General features: G+C 37.1%; 1 long non-coding RNA gene across 1 annotated transcript in view, besides 2 other annotated features; it reads right to left on the bottom strand.

Moving 5' to 3' along the window:
* LINC02172 (long intergenic non-protein coding RNA 2172) overlaps positions 1 to 21,310 on the bottom strand; it is a 57,700-nt gene that overhangs the window by 27,392 nt on the left and 8,998 nt on the right. The gene's annotated exons all lie outside the window — the stretch shown is intronic.
* Positions 2,639 to 3,138: an enhancer, noted in NCBI's record as "H3K4me1 hESC enhancer chr4:138494055-138494554 (GRCh37/hg19 assembly coordinates)". NCBI's record gives its function as "activates a minimal SCP1, AML or CMV promoter by ChIP-STARR-seq in primed H9 embryonic stem cells {active_cell/tissue: H9 hESC(primed)}" and the evidence as "EXISTENCE:reporter gene assay evidence [ECO:0000049][PMID:30033119]".
* Positions 3,431 to 3,640: an enhancer, noted in NCBI's record as "active region_21909". NCBI's record gives its function as "activates an Ori minimal core promoter by ATAC-STARR-seq in GM12878 lymphoblastoid cells {active_cell/tissue: GM12878}" and the evidence as "EXISTENCE:reporter gene assay evidence [ECO:0000049][PMID:35858748]".

Genomic DNA, 21,310 nt, shown 5'->3' with positions numbered 1-21,310 from the left:
TATTTTCAGATTTTATTTACCCAGATATTACATTTTTCTAAGCAAAATCAAACTAAGTAATAAATTTCTATTTGGTGCCTGGGAATGTTCTTGAGTCCAATATTTCTTCTAATATATGAAACTTTTCAACAATATTCCAGACAGACAGTGCATGCAGTCTGTTTTGCCTTTCCTACTGAGGAGCACTATTAAACTGAAAGGCAGTAGAGAGTTAAAACACTCACATGGCTGTTGGGTTGATAATGGCCTTCCATCCATTGTATATCCAATTTGGGTTGCAATACTGAAACAACTGCCAGGAAATTTATCACCCCTACCTCCCCATTATTTCTTTGTACTCCAAGCACATTCATTGAGAACCACTTATTAGAAATCCATTGTGGTCTAGAAATGTGGCACCTGCTGTGAACTCATGGGTGAGCAGTACAAATCTCACCTTACCCTTAAGAATCTTATAGTTGGCATGGGGTGGTGGCTCATGCCTGTAACCCCAGCAGTTTGGGAGGCCGAGGCAGGCTGATCACCTGAGATCAGGAGTTTGAGACCAGCCTGGTCAATATGGTGAAACCTTGTCTCTACTAAAAATACAAAAATTAGCCCAGTGTGGTGGCGGGCACCTGTAATCCCAGCTACTTGGGAGACTGAGGCAGGAGAACTGCTTGAACCCGGGAGGTGGAAGTTGCAGTGAGCCAAGATAGTGCCATTGCACTCCAGCATGGGTGAAAAGAGCAAGACTCCGTCTCCAAAAAAAATAAATAAATAAAAAATAAAAACCTTATAGTCTGATTTGGGATGTAAAATACATGTAATTACAAAAAAAATGTGATTTGTAATATGGTGATATATACAGATAGTTATATGAGTATATGTACGGAAATGATGCTTCATTTTGTACTGAGGTTGCAGGGAAGGTTTCTTGGGAAGAAGGATGTATAATCAGATTGCTAAATTCTAAGGAAGAATTTAAAAAGTGAAGCAAAACACCAAAAATAACCAAAATTGTGGCTGAAAGTCAAATCCAAAATGACTGCTAGTAAGTGTGTTAAACAAATCACAATATTTCTACATCTATTTTTTACAAGAGTCTAATATATTAAGAAATTTAAAATCCTATTTACATATAAAAAATTAAAGCTCAGGGAAATAGCGGATTATCCAGTGTTACACAGCTAATAAGTAGAATATCCAACTGATGAATATATTTATCCAGGAACAATTGTAAACTCCAGGAATCATGGTCACTGCACAGAGTATGCACTCAATTTTTGATTGTTAAATTAAAGAATGTATGAATTATTTTACTGTCATTCACTTATTGTTATATTGTTTTTATTTTACTAGGCAGAGAAAGCAGTTTATATAAATGCTTGGAGGCTAGATAATACATGATTGATGCTTTTAGAGATTTGAAAGTGTTTTAGCTTAACATAAACTTTTGCTTCTTATTCAAAAATTCCCAAATGTAGTATAACACATTTTTTTCTCTTTAAATTTTATCTGCATTGCACAGTAAGACAGAAGCCTGGTACATATTATTAGGTGTCTCCCACAAATGTGATTTAAAAAGTGAAAAGTTAGATTTTAGTTTCAGGGGAGCCATTTACTAGAATTGTGATCATGGAGAAATAAAAAATGAAAGTTTTTCCCATATGTAAAATGCCATAAAATGATCTCTCTCCACAAGCTTATTGTAAGGTTTTAGCTAAACTGCCTATGTACGTTCTCTATCATAGTACCTGCCAATATCGAGCACTCAATGTTAGTATCCTTTCCTTTGCTCAATTTTCAAACTGAATTTATTGCTTTTCATGAATTGTTAGTATTTTGTTATTTTACAGATTAGAAAAGCTGCAAATTGGGTATTTCCAACCTATACAATTACTAATACGAATTCTAAACTTTTGGTGGTAGAAAACATATCATGTAGAGTTGGGTTTTATAGTACCTAAAATATGACTTTAATATTGATTTTACTTCTAGTGTCATGTAATTTTTGTGGAAGGGAAGCTCTAAACTATAGCTTATGTTTCTTTGAAAAATAAGGACCGTAATTATAAATGTTGGCACCTGTGTATACAACTTACTTCAACAAACTATATGTGTTATGCCTAATTGATATAAGGCATTATACAAAGTGCTGCAAGGCACTATGAGATGTACCTATAATCTGATAAAGAATTTGTATAAATAGGGCAATATTAAAAATAAATAATAAAGAGAGGATAAAAAAGATTTTGGAATTTAGAATCACATAATTTAAATATTAAATTATTGTGGTTAGCTCAAGAGAGCAAGGACTTAAATATGACTAGGGTTTTACACCTCACAATAGGAAGGCTGGCATCATTAATCGAAAGAAGGAACTAAGAAGATGAAAGGTTTTGGGAGGATATTGAGTTTAGATCATTACAAAATGGACTATCAATGGGACAAGTGATGTAAGTTGTACAAAAAGTTCATCTGAAGTTTGATCTAGAAATGAGAATTTTAATGCCACATGAAAAATGGTTAGAGGGTGGAGCCAACTAGAAGCAGTGGCAATCAGAGGCTGCCATTGAAAATAACCACAGTAGCATGTGAATCATGCACTAGCAACCAAGGTAAACATATTCTCTCATCAGAACCAACTAGATGGCTGGCGTGATCCACGGAGAGGAAAGAAGAGCAGCGTGGTGTGGTGGCCCACCGGAGAGCCACATGGGACAGGGGAGCCTCCACCCCACAACGAAGGAAGGCAATGGGTGAGCATGTTACCCAGCCAGGGAAACAGTGCTTTTTCTACAGAACTGAGCAACCCACGGATTGGAAGTTCTCACTGGTGAACCCATGCCACTGAGGCTTAGGGTCCCAATCCCAGAGCCATGCAGATTCTCAACAGCCTCTCAGCTAGAATCTGCTTAAGCCTGTCAAGGTCTCAGGGGGAAGGGGCGGCGAGCTCCACAGCTGCGGCTGCCTCCTAGCTAAGCATTTTGAGCTCCTTGAGGGAGGGGCAGCAGTCAGCACTGGGACTCATAACTGCCTCACACACCAAGCTCCCTGGGTTGGGGAAAGGCAGCATCCATCTCTATAGCTCCAGGCCATGCTTTTCCCCTTCTGGAACCAGGAAGCCTGAATGGCTTGGTCCCAAGAGGTGTCCCCCACAGCCCAACACACCAGCTATGGCAGACTGCAGCAAGAGTGCCTCTTCAGGCCTGACCCTGACTCATACTTTCTCAGTGGGTGGGGCCTCCCTGCAGGAACTCCAGCAACTCCAGCCAGAGGGTCAGGGACAGAACCCTGATCTCCCTGGGCCTGAGCCCCTAGCAGGAAGGGTGGCCACCATCTGCCGACCAGCAGACTTAGCCTTTCCTCCTGGTAGTTCTGAGGAATCCAGGCAGCCCAGACAATTGGGTTTCCCCCCAGCAAAGCCTACCCCCTCTACCAAGGGACAGTCAAAGTGTTTTGTTAATGGGTCCCGTTCCCTGTGCCACCCAACTGGGTGAGACCCTCCAACAGAGGTTGTCAGACACCCTATACAGGAGCTATCCTACTGATACCAGGTTAGTGCCTGTCAAGGTCAGAGATCCCAGAAGAAGGAGCAGGCACCCAACTTTGCTGTTCTCCAGCCTCCTTGAGTGACATCTCCAGGTGCAGGAGTAAAGCAGATGAATAGGGCCTGAAGTGAACCCCCAGCAAACCACAGCAGCCCTACAGAAGGAGGGCCTGACCACTGAAAGAAAAACAATCAAACAGAAAGCAATAACAACAGCATCAACAACAACAACAAAAAGTCCCCACAAAAACCCCAACCAAGGGTCAGCAACCTGAAAGATCGAAATAAGAAAAAGTCATAAAGATGAGAAAGAATCAATGAAAAAAAGCTGAAAACCCCGAAGGCCAGAGTGCCTCTTCTACTCCAAATGATTGCAATTTCTCTTCAGCAAGGATGAGGATGAGATGGACAAATTGACAGAAGTAGGCTTCAGAAGATAGGTAATAAAAAACACTGCTTAGCCAAAGGAGCATATTGTAACCCAAGGCAAAGAAGCTAAGAACCTTGATAAAAGGTTAGAGGAGCTGCTAACTAGAATAACCAGTTCAGAGAGGACCACAAATGACCTGATGGAGCTGAAAAACACAGCACAAGAACTTTGTGAAGCATACACAAATGTCAGTAGCCAAATCAACCAAGTGGAAGAATGGATATCAGGGTTGGAGGACCACCTTGTTGAAATAAGGCATGCAGACAAGATTAGAGAAAAAAAGAATAAAAAAGGAATGAGCAAAGCCTCCAAGAAATACAGGACTAGATAAAAAGACCAAACCTATGATTGACTGGAGTACCTGAAGAACACACGCAGAATGGGAACAAGCTGGAAAACACACTTCAGGATACTATCAAGGAGAACGTCCCCAACCTAGCAAGATAGGCCAACATGAAAATTCAGGAAATACAGAGAACACCACTAAGATACTCCATGAGAAGAGCCACCCCAAGACACATAGTCATCAGCTTCTCCAAGGTTGAAATGAAGGAAAAAATGTTAAGGGCAGCCAGAAAGAAAGGCCAGGTCACCTACAAAGGGAAGCCCGTCAGACTAACAGCAGACCTTTCAGCAGAAACCCTAAAAGGAAGAAGAGATTGAGGGCCAATATTCAACATTCTTCAAGAAAAGAATTTTCAACCCAGAATTTCATATCCAGCCAAACTAAGCTTCATAAGCAAAGGAGAAATAAAATCCTTTCCAGACAAGCAAATGCTGAGGGAAATTTCATCACCACCAGGCCTGCCTTGCAATCACTCCTGAAGGAAGCACTAAATATGGAAAGGAAAAACTGGTATCAGTCACTGCAGAAAACACCTCAAAATATAAAGACCAATGACACTATGAAGAAACTGCATCAACTAGTGGGCAAAATAACCAGAAAGCATCATGATGATGGATCAAATTCAACATAACAATACTAATCTTAAATGTAAATGGGCTAACTGCCCCAGTTAAAAGACACAGACTGGCAAATTGGAAAGAGGCACCCTTAGGGGTGCTGACAAATTGGAAAGAGCACCCTTAGGGGTGCTGTATTCAGGACACCCATCTCACATGCAAAGACATACAGAGGCTCAAAATAAGGTGATGGAGGAAAATTTACCAAGCAAATGGAAAACAAAAAAAAGCAGGAGTTGCAATCCTATCTCTGACAAAACTTCAAACCAACAAAGATCAAAAAAGACAAAGAAGGGCTTCACATAATGGTAAAGGGATCGATTCAGCAAGAAGAGCTAACTCTCTTAAATATATGTGCACTCAATACAGGAGCACCCAGATTCATAAAACAAATTCTTAGAGACCTACAAAAAGACTTAGACTCCCACACTATAATAGTGGGAGATTTTAACACCCCACTGTCAATATTAGACAGATCAAGACATAAAATTAATAAGGATATTCAGGGCTTGAATTCAGCTCTGGATCAAGTGGGCCCAATAGACATCTACAGAACTCTCCACCCCAAATCAACATAATATGCATTCTTCTCAGTGCCACATGGCACTTATTCTAAAGCCAACCACATAATTGGAAGGAAAACACTCCTCAGCAAATGCAAAAGAAGTGAAGTCATAACAGTCACTGCACAGACCACAGTGCAATCAAATTAGAAGTCAGAATTAAGAAACTCACTCAAAATCACACAATTACACTGAAATTGAACAACCTGCTCCTGAATGACTCTTGGGTAAATAATGAAATTTAAGGCAGAAATCAAGAGTTTCTTTGAAACCAATGAGAACAAAGAGACAACGTACCAGAATTTCTGGGACACAGCTAAAGCAGTGTTAAGAGGAAAATTTATGGCACTAAATGCCCACATCAGAACGCTAGAAAGATCTGAAATCAACACCCTAACATCACAATTAAAAGAGCTAGAGAAACAAGAGTAGACTAATCCAAAAGCTAGCAGAAGACAAGAAATAACTAACATCAGAGCAGGATTGAAGGAGATAGAGACACGAAAAAGCTACCAAAAATCAATTAATCCGGGAGGTGGATTTTAGAAAAAATTAACAAAATAGGTAAAGCACTATCTAGACTAATAAAGAAGAAAAGAGAGAAGAATCAAATGGACACAAAACAAGATAAAGGGGATATCACCACTGACCCCAAAGAAATACAAACTAGCATTAGAGAATACTATGAACACCTCTACCAAATAAACTAGAAAATTGAAAAGAAATGGATAAATTCCTGGACACATACACCCTCCCAAGACTAAACCTAAGAGAAGTTGAATCCCTGAATAGATCAATAACAAGTTCTGAAATTGAGGCAGTAATTAATAGCCTATTCACCAAAAAAAGCCCAGGACCAGGTGGATTCACAGCCAAATTCTACAAGAGGTACAAAGAGGAGCTGGTACCATTCCTTCTGAAACTATTCCAAACAATTGAAAAGGAGGGCTAACTCATTTTATGAAGTAAGTATCATCCTGATACCAAAATCTGGCAGAGACACAACAAAAAAAGAAAACTTCAGGCCAATATCCCTGATGAACATGAATGCAAAAATATTCAATAAAATACTGGCAAATCAAATTCAGCAACACATTAAAAAACTTATTGACCATGATCAAGTCAGCTTCAACCCTGGGATGCAAGGTTAGTTCAACATATGCAAATCAATAAATGTAATCCATCACCTAAACAGAACCAAAGACAAAAACCAAATGATTATCTCAATAGATGCAGAAAGGGCCTTTGATAAAATTCAACATCCCTTCATGTTAACAAGTCTCAATAAACTAGGAATTAATGGAACATATCTCAAAATAATAAGATATATTTATGAAAAACCCACAGCCAATATCATATTAAATGAGCAAAAGTAGGAAGTATCCCCTTTGAAAGCCTGTACACGACAAGGATGCCCTCTCTCACCACTCCTATTCAACATAGTATTGGAAGTTCTGGCCAGAACAATCAGGCAAGAGAAAGAAATAAATGGTATTAAAATAGGAAGAGAGAAAGTCAAATAGTCTCTGCTTGCAAATGACATGATTCTATATTTAGAAAACCCCATCATCTCAGCCCAAAATCTCCTAAAGCTGATAAGCAATTTCACCAGTCTCAGAATACAAAATCAATATGCAGAAATCACAAGCATTCCTATACACCAACAGTAGGCAAGCAGAGAGCCAAATCATAAATGAACTCCCATTCACAATTGCTACAAAGAGAATAAAATACCTAGGAATACAGCTAACAAGGGATGTGAAGAACCTCTTCTAGGGGAGCTACAGACTGCTGCTCAGCAAATAAGAGAGGACACAAACAAATAGAAAAATATTCCATCCTCGTGGATAGGAAGAATCAATATTGTGAAAATGGCCATACTGCCCAAAGTAATTTATAGATTCAGTGCTAGTCTCATCAAACTACCGTGGATATTTTTCACAGAATTCGAAAAAACTACTTTAAATTTCATATGGAATCAAAGAAGACCCCGTATAGCCAAGACAATCCTAAGCAATAAGAACAAAGCTGGAGGCATCACGCTACCTGATTTCAAACTATACAACAAGGCTACAGAAATCAAACGAGCTTGCTACTGGTACCAACACAGACATATAGATCATTGGAACATAACAGAGACCACAGAAATAACACCACACATCTAAACCATCTGATCTTCAACAAACCTGACAAAAAACAGCAATGGAGAAAGGATCTCCTATTCAATAAATGGTGCTGGTATAACTGGCTAGCCATATGCAGAAAACTGAAACTGGACTCCTTCCTTACACCTTATACAAAAATTAACCCAAGATGGCTGCAAGAAAACCTAGCCAACACCATTCAGGATATAGGCATGGGCAAAGAATTCATGATGAAAATGCAAAAAGCAATTGCAACAGAAACCGAAATTGACATATGGGATCTAATTAAACTAAAGAGCTTCTGCATAGCAAAAGAAACGACCATCAGAGTGAACAGGCAATCTACAGAATGGGAGAAAAATTTTGCAATCTACCCATCGGACAAAGGTCTAATATCCAGAATTTACAAGCAACTGAAACAAATTTACAAAAACAAACAACCCCTTCAAAAAGTGGGCAAAGGGTGTGAATAGACACTTCTCAAAAGAAGACATTTACATGGCCAACAAACATATGAAAATAACCACAACGTCACTGATCATTAGAGCAATGCAAATCAAAATCACAATGAGATACCATCTCATGCCATTATTAAAAATTCAAGATGGCAATTATTAAAAATTCAAGAACATAGATGCTGGTGAGGCTGTGGAGAAATAGGAATGCTTTTACAGTGTTGATGGAAACGTAAATTAGTTCAACCATTGTGAAAAACAGTGTGGTGATTCCTCAAGGATCTAGAAACAGAAATACCATTAGACCCAGCAATCCTGTTACTGGGTATATACCCAAAGAAATATGAATCATTCTACTATAAAGACACATACACATATATGTTTATTGCAGCACTATTTACAATAGCAAAGCCATGAAACCAACAAAAATGCCCATAAATGATACACTGGATAAAGAAAATGTGGTACATATACACCATGGAATACTATGCAGCCATTAAAAGGAATGAGATCATGTGCTTTGCAGGGTCATGAATGAAGCTGGAAGCCATCATTCTCAGCAAACTAACACAGGAACAGAAAACCAAACACCGCATGTTCTCACTCATAAGTGGGAGTTGAACAATGAGAACACTTGGACACAGGGAGGGAAACAACATATACCAGGCCTGTTGGGGGTGGAGGGTGAGGGCAAGAAACTTAGACGATAGGTCAATAAGTGCAGCAAACCACCAAGGCACACATATACCTGTATAACAAACCTGCACGTTCTGCACATGTATCCCGGAACTTGAAGTGAAAAAAAAAAATAAGAAAAAATAAAGTTCTGAAAGAAGAAAAAAAATGTGGTTAAGTGGCAAAATAGGATTTCAATGGCAAAAGATAGATAGATAGATAGATTTTTTTTTTTTTAAGACAGAGTTTCACTCTGCCACCCAGGCTGAAGTGCAGTGGCGCGATCTCTGCACACTGCCACCTCCACCTCCCAGGTTCAAACGACTGTCGTGTCTCAGTCTCCCAAGTAGCTAGGATTTCAGGCCTGCGTCACCACATCTGGCTAATTTTGTTGTTGTTGTTGTTGTTTGTTTTGTTTTGTTGTAGAGATGGGATTTCACCATGTTGACCAGGTTGGTCTTCAACTCCTGACCTCAAGTGATCTGCCCGCCTCAGCCTACCAAAGTGCTGGGATTACAGCAGTGAGCCACTGTGCCTTGCCTAGATAGATGAATTTTAAAAGCCAAAGATGGAACCTAAACTGGTGGAGTATTTGTACTTACAGAAAATAAGCTTCAAGAGAAGCAGGCAAGGAAATAAGAGAAGGAGTAATATGGAAGAAAAGAAGAAAAAGAATGGTAGAAAAAAAAAGATTGTTATCAGAATTAATTAACGACTAAAATTTTTAAGATTAAAACTAAAAAGGGACTACTGGATTTGACAAATATACTTTTGTTCATTACACAGTAATCAGTTTTTACTGCTTATTTCATAGCATTTATTATTAAATTATTACTCCCATCAATATGAAGGAGATTTAATGATGGTTGAAAATAACAAAGAGTAAATAATCCTCTTATGGTTTTTTTCCCCATATTTCCTAAGTAGAGTGGAATCATTAGAGCAGATTCTACTTACCTTCATTAATCTAATTTTAGGAAGCTCTAAGGAAAGGGTAATCCATGTATGTAGAATAAGTAAGTTTTCGGTAGTGTGAATTCACTGAGATTTTTATATTGATTGGTTATATATTAAATCTATATAAGCCTATTATTCCATTGCTAAAAATACCCACACTGGGTAATTTATAAAGAAAAGAGGTTTTTAATTGGCTTAAGGTTCTGCAGGCTGTACAGGAAGCATAGTGGCATCTGCTGCTGAGGAGGTCTCAGAAAACTATGATCAGGCAGGAAGGCAAAGGGAGAGCAGGTACGTTACATGGTGAAAGCAGGGACAAGAGCGAGACAGAGGGTTCCACATGCTTTTAAATAACCAGATCTTGAGAGAATTCTCTCACTATCGCAAGGACAGCACCCAGGGGAAGGTGCTAAGCCATTCATGAGAAATTTGCCCCCATGATCCAACCAACTCCCACCAGGACCTACCTCCAACATTGGTGATTATATTTCAACATGAGATTTGGGCCATGACACGCAATCAAACTACATCAAATCCTATTTTCTTATAATTTTTTTGCCAATGTAATAGCTTAAGACACACTAGAATAAAGAGTAGTAAGAAAGCTCTAAGTCAAGAGAAACTCTCTTCATTAAAATTACAATGTTAGTCATCATTAAAACAATCTCTACTTGAATCTTTTCTATATTTCATAATTAAATGTAGTGTCCAATGTAAGCTTTTCTTTCTATGGTGGTGGTGGTTGTAAAGAATCAAATTTTATGTAAACTTGGTCAATAATATAATTGTCTCATTATACTATATTGTTTTGGCTGTTTGGCAGGATTTTTCTTCCCAAAACATGTATTTTTTTTATTTTCCAAGGGTCCTCAAAACATACTTTCTTTCAGAAAGTTACTATCTCCAGTTTGGTGCCCCTGTGTTACTAATGCAGATAAGCAGCTTAGAGGAATAGATCTTTTAGTTAAGTATTTTTTTAAAATATGGCTTATTTTCCCTAGACTCCTTTGGTTTATGTGAGAATTTGTATTGTTAAGATAAAATTGTATTCTATTATCTTCAGCAGATACCTTCCAAGACCACCTCCTGCAGTGATACCAAAAATGCTGGATAGTACCAAACTCTATATATACTAATGTTTGTTCCTATACATACATACCTATAGTAAAGCTTAATTCATAATTAGGCATAGTGAGAGAATAACGACAACAATAGTAAAACAATATTCCAGCATCACGACTCTTGCACTTTCAAGTTATTACAAGTAAAATAAGGGTTACTTGAACACAAGCACTGCGATACCACTAAGTCAATCTGATAACAGGAACAACTACTAAGCGGCTAATGGACAGGTTACTGCCTACAGGGTGGATATTCTGAGGCAAAGAAATAATTCATGTATCACGCAGGATGGAGCAGGACAGCATGGGATTTCATCGTGCTGCTCAGAATGCTACTCAATTTAAAGAATATGAATTGTTTACTTCTGGAATTTTTTATTTAATATTTTCAGACCTCAGTTGGCTGTGGGTAACTGAAACCACAGAAAGCAAAACCGTAAATAAGGGGGGAATACTGTCTACATCCCCCTAAACTGGTAGGCTTCTTTAGAAAATGTTCTAGCCAATGTTGGCAAACTAGGGATTAATGTTTTATACCATCCAGAATCTACATATTGATAATTGATATCTTTAGAATGAAGAAATGTATCTTTACCATCACGGGTATTTGTTTATTCTCCACATATGTCAGAGGAAATGTGCAAGTATTCACCTGCACATCTACAAATAGATATAAGCCTATAAAAGCTTAAAATAGAAAAGGCTATAACAGTTTAATGAAGAACCAACTGCATTGTTCATCTCTCATGTCTCATTTAATATCACTGAGTGTGAAATGGAGCATAAACTAGTTAGAACATTTAAAATTTCCATACTTTCTTGCCTCATGGCTAAGTTCAACCCAAGTTGAACAGTTATCCTAAAGGCTGAACCAGTTATGTCACCATCCAGGATCAGAAGGAAGGTGAAATACACCTGGATCTGTCTTTCCAACGTTAGTTTAACCTCAGATTCGCTTATTGTAGGTGGCTTTGAACGGCTGGCATGTTTCCTACAATAAGCCACTGAAAAGGGCACATTATGGCTTGGTGGCCTTTAAGTGCACTTTCTTCTTTCCTGAGCTTTAATTTTTGAGCCAGTCCTCCTCTTCCTCTCTATGTGGTTCTGCTGGGATTGTCACACAAGGATATGCCTACTTCCTCCATTATTGAGATGGGCTCATATTTTGGGGTGGAGCAAAACAATAAATTGGGAGCACCTCTATGTACACCGTGTGAGAGGGGACTGCTTTCTTTACCCTGAGATCACTAACTGTAAGCCTGGGGTAGCTTGCGGTCATATTAATACTAATTATAGAGATACGATCTAAAAATAAAGTTAACAGAATTAAAAGGAGAGGGAGAAAGAGGAAAGAGGCAGGGGAAGAGAGAGTGAGAGAGAGAGAGAAAGAGGAGCAGCCAACAGTGTTTTAACTTCAAGTCCGGGTTGAATGTCACGTCACTTTTTGGGTATTTCAGACACTAGAGCTGAAAAATTACATTTTAGTCTAAGGTAGTTTGAGTTGAGTTTGTGTCATTTGCAGTGGAAAGGCTCCTGCCTATTTCCAGCATATTAGGTTTGAGTTTTTCTTAGAAACATTTTTAGATAAGAATAAAAGGTAATGATACTGAGCCATTATTCTAAAAGTTCTGTGAAAGTCCAGAATAAATATCTTTATTCATTTACTCATTTTTTTTTAAATTTAGGGGGTCTACTTCGCACCGGGTATTGTTCCAGGAACTGCAAATACAGTTATGATCTAGGAAAAATTCTAAAACCTCTGGTGTGGAGTGGTACACATGAAACATAAATAATTTCAGTAGCAAATAAATGCCATAAAGAAAAAAAAAAGGACTATTTGCTCTTAGGGACAGTAGTTGGGGAAAGCAGAACTTTCCTTGAATGATGAGGCAGCCTAACACACAATGATCAGGATTCCAAAGAAAGGATTGAACTTGTCTTGCTCAAAAAACTTAAAAAAGGGGCTAGGCGCCATGGCTTACTCCTGTAATCCCATCCCTTTAGGAGGCCGAGGCGGGCAGATCACTTAAGGTCAGGATTTCGAGACCAGCTAGCAAGGCGAAAACCCGTTTCTACTAAAAATACAAAAAATTCGCCGGGCGTGGTGGCGCACGTCTGTAGTCCCAGCTACTGGCACAAGAATCACGTGAATCTGGGGGACAGAGTTTGCAGTGAGCCGAGATCGCGCCACCGCACTCCAGCCTGAGCGACAGCGTGAGACTCCATCTCAGAAAACAAACAAACAAACAAACAAGCAAACAAACAAAACTTTAAAAAGGCTGGAACACTGAGAAGAGGTAAATGAGGGGGAGTGCAGAAAGCAATATCAGAGAATACGATTTTGTTGGTTATTCTAATGATTTTTATATTTATTCTAATTGCAAAGGAAAATGATTGAGAATTTTTCCTTAAGGCAATGTTACGATTTTTTTCTTTATAATTTCTACCAGCTGTTCTGTGGAGAAGATATCGAGAGAAAGAGTGAAACAAAAAAAAATCAATAAGAAGACTGTGTTATAGCATAAAAAATAAAGACATTATCTTGAGCTAAGTTAGCAATGAATATGAAAGTAAGTGAATGGACTAGTTATGTAATTTGGAAATGGTACAATAAAATTGACCAATAGTTGAGGGTGCTGGAAGAGAGGATGGTCAACAGTGAGAGAAAAATCAACTGTGAAAGTGATGTGGGAAGACTGGTGGAGACGCTTGTATTCCTTGTCTGCCCTTATATTCTTAGGATTAGAGATTCCTTCAGATTATAAAAGGAAATAGCCATAGTGATTTCAAGTTTTGCTTTTCATTCATTAAGATCTGAGTTCAGTTCCTGACTACCATTTCTTAGATGTATGACTCTTCATTAAATAATCACATATTGCTCTCTGTTGTCAAGCTAGGCACAGAGGAGACAAACGTGAAGTAGACAGCTATATTCTCTGTCTCCTCTGCTGGAGAGTAGAATGGCAAGCAGAAAAACCTGTGTAGATAAAATAATTCGAGATTGTAGATAAGTGCTATACAGGGAATAAATAAGGAATAAGGGAAACTGACTCTAGATGACACGATAACCACAAAAGAGCTCTCTGATGAAGTGACAGCTAGAATTAAAGCCCAATGTTTGGAGGAAACAAATCAAGCAGAGGCTGAAGGGAATGTTCATGGGATAGGAGAGCATACAAAAAAGGCTTGTGGCTTGAGTTTCTTCATCTGTTAAAGGAGAATGATAACAATCTTTACACAAATATTTGAGAGTTAATAGAAAGTATATGCAGGAGTAAGTACAGTTATGGAAGTATCTTCAAAATGAAATAAAGGGTATTAAAACTTTCCTAATTAGTAGAATTATTAAAACAGGAAGTTAGTCATTGGTGTTGTGAGCGCTTGTTTAATTTTAGGACAGTGCTCCTAGCTATGAAGCCCAAGTCTCCCATATACAACTTTTGTAATTTCAGAAAAACTCCTTATTAAGGTCATAGAATCTCAGGTTTCTTTTCTGAAAAATAAGATTAGTCCTGTGGGTCAGCCTCCCAGTCAGGGAAGACAAGGGTGGAGATAATCTGGAGGAGCAAACGAAAATAATCAGTACAAGGTCATTATTTCAGCTTTACAGATGAGGAAACTGTGGTGAACTTTCATGTAATTACTAGCTGCTAGAATTGGAGTTCAGGCCCAGGCAGGCAGTCTGAATCCCAAATCTATGGTCAGTTTTCAGGTATATAACTGCCTCTTATTGCCCACGTACTTTAACACTATCTTTTATTAAGTTCTCCTTGAAGGGAAATTTAAAGCTGAAAGCTATGTAAGTGATCTTATATATCTTCTTAGGAAACAACTTTCTCCATGCTTTATGTCAGTAGTTTTCAAACAGAGGGTAATTTTTGCCGCCCTCCTCACCAACGGACATTTGGCAATGAGTGGGGGCATTTTTACTTGTCATAACTTGGGGGTGGGGAGAGAGTAGCGTTGCTAGCACCTTATGTAGAGGCCAGGGGTGCTGCTAAAAATCTTGCAATACTCAAGACAGTCCCCTCACAACAAATAATTATCCAGCTCAATATGTCACTAGTGCTGAGACTGGGAAACTGTGGGTTAAGACAATAAGGTAAATATTCTACTAATGGTGGAGAAGGTGGTGTACAAAACAAAAACAACGAGAACCTACAAGCTGGCTGAAGGGGACAAGATAAAATGACTGAGGAACATACAGAAAGAAATTTCCTAAACCACAATGGATAAGAGTTTTTACTTTCTCTAGAGGTGTAATCTATAAGAATGGCATGAGGGATGGCCTCTGTGAATAATCGCTTTTTGATGTAACTCATTCTTGAAGATATGATATTGCTTTTCAGAAGTTGTAATATGGAAGGAGGAAATACCTTTTACAACCTAGATATTTTGCAAACTCACTGTTCTTATGAATAATTTTTCAAGCATTTGATGACAAGTAGATGGAAGATCAATGAGCCCTCTCTTCCAGGGATGAGGTCTAGAAAGTCAGAAGGTCTATATTAAATCTTACTGATATACATGCGTCAGAATAAGAGGTTGACATTTTAATACTTGAAAATCTTGTTTCCACCCTGCAGTGGCTGTTTGTCAAATTTTAGCCCTTGAGTATTTCAAATTTCTTCTATGTCCTTACATTCTGGCAGAATATCTTTTGGTGGGATCTATCTATTTCAGATGCTGTGGGCTAGTGAAATTAGTAGTGAAAGTTGACTGACTCCATTAAAACTGAGTCATACAATCTCGTCAAGTTCTGACAAAAAATAGGAAGAGTCTCAGTTAAGATGGACAGGAGATCTGCTAAAGTTAATTTGAGTCACGGTTAAAATCATGGGCTCTGGATCCAAACACTCTTGATTCAAATACAAACATAACCTTTTATTAGCTGCATGTCTTGGAGAAATTTACTCAGTAGAGCTCCATCTCAGTTTCTTGAACACTAAAATGGGCATTAGTAATCGTACCTGCCTCATAAAGTTTTTGTAAGAAGCAGATTATATAATTACAAAGGTTACTAAAAGAGGTTTTAATACATTTTCATAAGTAATATCTTTATATACAAGTAGGCAGTCAGTTAATGGAACAACTAATGTATTCCAGATGTATCTCAATAAAAGACCACATACTCAAAGTAGATGTCCATATATGGATGAATCCAAGTTAATGCTATTGAGTATGTTATTTCAAGAATGGCTAACCAGGATCTTCTGGAATTCAACAACATATTTAGTAGCAATCAGAATAAAGAACTGTTACCAACACATTGAACCAAACAGAATATCATTAAGTCATATTTATTTTGAGTTTGATATAAAGGATCAAAAGTAATGTGGTTTTAACTAGCTTAAAATCTAGAGTCCTTGAAAGGAATGATACTACGGGTAAAGATGAACAATAGCAAACTCTAAAATAGGCTCTTCCTTCGTAAACTATTCTATGTATGATAGGAAGGGGTCTCCTTCTTCCTTTGAGTAGAGGACATGGATTTGCCTAAGTAATAATGTCCCAGTGGGATGCTTTGAGGAAAAGACTGGGATTTCCTTACTATTATCCCACTATTCCTAATAGGTGAGATAGGTTATGCTTTGATTGGGAAGAAGAAAGCTGTGACAGAGCTGTCTCCCGGGAGTGAAGCCAAAAAATACATGGGTTTGGGAGGGTTGTGGGCTCATTTGTTCTTGAACTGGGGAGCTGTCTCATACTGGATGAGATTCCTAATAGTTGGATTGGGAGAATTGGACATGAAGTGATTCAAGTGCCAGTGGTCAGCACTTTCTTACTCTTTCCATGTTTAAAGAAGGGCATGGAAATCTTGTGAACATCTCACACCAGATTTAGGTGCCTAGGATCCTAACACACCTTAGACCCTTTATAGGGCATTGGCTTTTTGGTCTTAGTTTTGCCACTTACGATAGAAGAATAAGGTCTTATCTGAAACTCAAAGACAGGCAATGTGTCTCACCACAGAATCAATAAGAGGTCAGCCGAAAAGGCAGGCAATTGAATTCTGAGAGGGAAGAGTGAGTCAGACAATGCAGGAAGAGTTGTGTGCAGCTGGTTAGCAGAAGAAGGGCTTAGAATCAAAACTAGGCTACTGGAGACAGTACAAGAAAGCTATTTTATTTTACTGGATATTCAGTGCCTTGACTCATATCTAGGATTAGTGTAAAGGGTTCTTCTGACAATAACACTGTAATGAAAGTAGCACAACTATAATGAAAATTATTTTTTGTTTGTTTTTCTCTGAAATAGAGGGAAAATAGGAATGATCAGTCATTCTGTGATGAATACAGAACATGAGAAAATCACTTCCCATCTGCTAGCTAAATAGACAAATAACCATAAATCTTTTAAATGATGAAAACAAGAAAATACAGTAAATATATCAAGAAAACTCTTTCGACATCTCCTACCAAAAACCAAAGAGGAAATTTTTGTTTAATTTTTAATGGACTGATTTTTGGTAGTGAAATTAATGCTTATAACATTTTTCAAGAAAGAAAAAATATTGATAAACACAGAATTTTAAATTTGTTCTAATTGTACTACTCTTTAGAAAATGGGCTTTAGGGTGGGCAAAAAAATTCCTTAGCTCATGGTTGTGCAGATTGACTATCACTTATCCAAAAAGCTTGAGACCAGAAGTGTTTCAGATTTGGGATTTCGGGGAAATTTTGGAATATTTGCATTATACCTGTTGAGCATTCCTATTCTGAAAATCTGAAATCTGAAATGCTGCAATGAGGATTTCCTTTGAGCATCATGTCAGCTCTCAGAAAGTTTCAAATTTGGGAGCATTTTGGATTTGGGTTTCAGATTTTCAGATTTGAGATGCTCAAACTGTACTGATATTTGCAAACTATATTTTTATCTATTTTAAAGTACATTAAAAGTTTTACATGATTCATTTTTTCCCGCTTTTTTAAGAGTCAGCTTTATTGATGTTTGGTTTACATTTTTTTTTACCATTTTAAGTGCAAGGTTTTATTAGTTTTAACAAATATATATTGTTGTGTTTAGTTAACATTTTAATACTGGTTTGTAGAGTCTTTGAGGAAAAAATTGCTAATAAAAGATAAGATCCTCAATTCCCAACTTTTAAAAGTTGACACTGAGGATTGCTTGAAAATACTGAAGAGAATTTCCAAGTTGAACCTTTTAGAGATTAAATATGCATATTTAGTTCTCTCATTAACCTAATGTAAAAAAAAAAACACACATATATATACATACTAATATTAAAAATATATTAGCACCCAAGCATAACACTTAGAAAATGATCACTATTTATTATACATTTTGACTTTAAAATTAAACCTTTGATAATTCCTGTGTAAATTATTACTTATTTTTATGTCAATAATTTGATGCATTAATTGTGTACATGTTCCTTGCTCTTAAAAAGTGTATCTTATATTAACTAAATGTTGGTTAACTATTTCTCTAATATACTTCAAGTTGCCATACTAAATATTCAGTGCATGCATGTATAACTTAAAATATAAATGACTGTCATAGCTTAACAGTTTTAAGAAAAAGACACACATTCTTTATTAAGATTCATAAATGATAAAATTGATAAATTTTTCAAATGTTTTAGGTTGGTTGCAGAAAAAAATAATAATGATAATGATATGATGTCAGAATAATGCTATATATTATGGCAAACTAATAACCTCCAGGGTGTTCAACTTCCATGAAATTCATTTCATATCTCATCTATTATTGAGGATCTGTGAAAAATAGTTTACTATTTCCCTCCTGAGTTATTTGGCAATGCAGGCTAGGCTCATGAAAGCAAAGAGATTAGATATTGTCATTTTCAAAGGGTAAAATCTGTGAAAGCTCTTTTCTAATTCTAGAAATGTCTGTGTGATAAAAATCCCTTTATGCAAATAACGTGAGAGGAACAAAACTCTGTCATTTTTCTCAGCTTTCAAAATACGTATATTATGTTCCTTTAAACTAGCACACTTATCAGAGGGGCTCTTTCTACAAATGCAGAATGGGAGATATATGCTCACATAGATGATATTTACTTCTTAAAAGTATTTACCCTTGGCGTTGCATAAAACTCTCCAGAGAAATGTTTTAATCTTTTCACACCTGGGAAGACCATTGCAATTTTAAGTCCATGTTGTATCCAGAGTTGTAGATGGTGATGATGAGTTTCACATGAAACAAAGAAATTGCTTGCAGTTTATCAGAAAATGTGTGCTCTTAGAAACTTACTTTCATATTTTCATTGATTTCCCATTGCCTATGAGTAAGACTTATTGATAGCTCAAGGCCTTCTGTGAAACGATGAAACAGTGTGCAAAACATTACTGAATGTGCATATGTGCATGAGAAGCAACAGCTTTAATCAGATCTCTGCAAGAGTTTGTAACCAATATAATACAATATCTTTCAACAAGGCCTTCCGAAGACCTTCAGAATGTCCATATTTCCTTTTGATCTGAATTACCAGTTTTATTGCCCACAAAAAGCACCTGCCCTAAGACCTGCCCTCCATTTTAATATTTCCGGGATTCTCTTGATTCCCTTCTGCTCCAGTTCCACCTATACAAATTCTACACAATCATCAGAGTCCTAATTACATATGATCCCATTTTAAAAGTCTGTGATACTCCTAAAAAGAATTAAACCTTTTTGCTCCCATAGGCTCTTTTTCCAACCATGGCACTAATCGACACGGGTGTTTTGTGTTACTCTTTTGTGCACAGCTCATTATCTTGGATATAGTGAATGTTCTATGAAGCCTTGTTTATTTTTTGTCTTCAAAAATACCTAATTCAGAGCAATGCACAGGATGTCACAGGTATTGATTCAAATCAAATTAGGCTCTCAATTTATTCCAAACTATCTACTCTCCATGAATTCCATGATGATATAAGGTGAGGAGAAAAGAAGCAAAATAATGACCATCTAATCTTAGCAACTTTTGTTTTTCAAGCTTTCTCAATTTTTTCTGTCTTCATCTAGCAATTTTTTTTCTTTCCTCTGCTCCTTTTTTCCTTGGGCAATGGTACTGGGGTATAGGCTTTGCTAAATTTCATTACTTTTTCCTATCCTTTGCTATCCTGTATGGAACAACACAATAACTTATTTCATGGAACTTAATGGCCACTTTTTTTTCATTGCTTGAATTCAAAATGTAACTATAAGATTGAACATGTTGTAATTTGGTTTCATACATTTTCTTTCAGAATTTTGCCAGATGTAAAAATGCCTATATGTATATATGTATTTATATACATATATGTGTATTTATACATGAGTATATATGTATATAGGTATTTATATACATATATGTGTGTATTTACACATATGAGTATATATGTATATATGTATTTATATACATATATGTGTATTTATGCATATGAGCATATATATATATAATGTGTGTGTATACACACACACACAAAGAAAGAGAGAGAGGTTCTGACCCATTTGTGGCTTTCCTTGTCACTTTCATGGCCACAAAGGAACAAAAAAACTCTTCCTTTCAACTATGTATTTTAAATGTATTATCTCTATATTATTAGGCTTTTCTTTTTCTCCAGATTTCAAGGCTATTCTGCAAAAGGTACAGACTCCTAAGTCGACAGTTGTTCACCTATCCCCACCAACGCAAGTCTCTCAGAACCAGCTCCTTCTCAAGTCCTCAGGGAGGACTTCCTCCTTCTCCACACCTTCTTCCACACCCCTCATCTCGTTTCTGACAGCTCAAAGTTACTTTCTCTACCATCCTCTTCATTGTAGCCTGCTCCCTCTCTCTCATAGGAAAGTAGCCTCAGACATTTCATAGAATGATAAACTTCCTTGGCATAACTAATACTTGCCTCTCCCTTAAAATTGGTGATTTTTTTACAGATCACTTGAGTCTAGTACCCTAATTCTCTGTGTCTCAGGAATATTTTCATTAAAAGGTAGTGTTGGTATTCTCCTACATTGCACTGACACTTTTACATCATTAGTCTTCCACTTGAGACAGATCATTTCTTCTTTGATATTTACTTTATTTGATTATATTATAAATTATTATGTTTTCTCTTTTCATTGTTTCTCCCTACAAGTATTCCAATACTCCCCATGATTCATGAAATCTTATGTACACCGTACCTTTGATTCTTTTCTAACCAAACTTCTTCCATCACCGTACTTGATTTTGTCTACATGGAGGTCCTCAAGACAATAACTGGAAACTTCCTTGACTTTCATTAATTTCTAGCCCACTTTAATAACCCAGTCCTTTCCAACACTAAGCTTCTATAGTCAGAACACCTACCATAAACTATTATTAAGATCGTGACCATTTTACTAAGTCATCACATTTGTTAACTGGGAATATGAATACTTGCTCTGCTCAAATTTTAGTATTTGTGGAAGGGTCAAAACACATAATATATGTAAAAATGCCTTAGGCATCATCAAATCTTCATGAATCTAAAGTAATGTGAT

Source organism: Homo sapiens, chromosome 4 (assembly GCF_000001405.40).
Source record: "Homo sapiens chromosome 4, GRCh38.p14 Primary Assembly".
Classification (NCBI taxonomy): domain Eukaryota; kingdom Metazoa; phylum Chordata; class Mammalia; order Primates; family Hominidae; genus Homo; species Homo sapiens.
The sequence above is the reverse complement of the archived record's forward strand: the minus strand, read 5'-3'. Positions and strand labels throughout refer to the sequence as shown.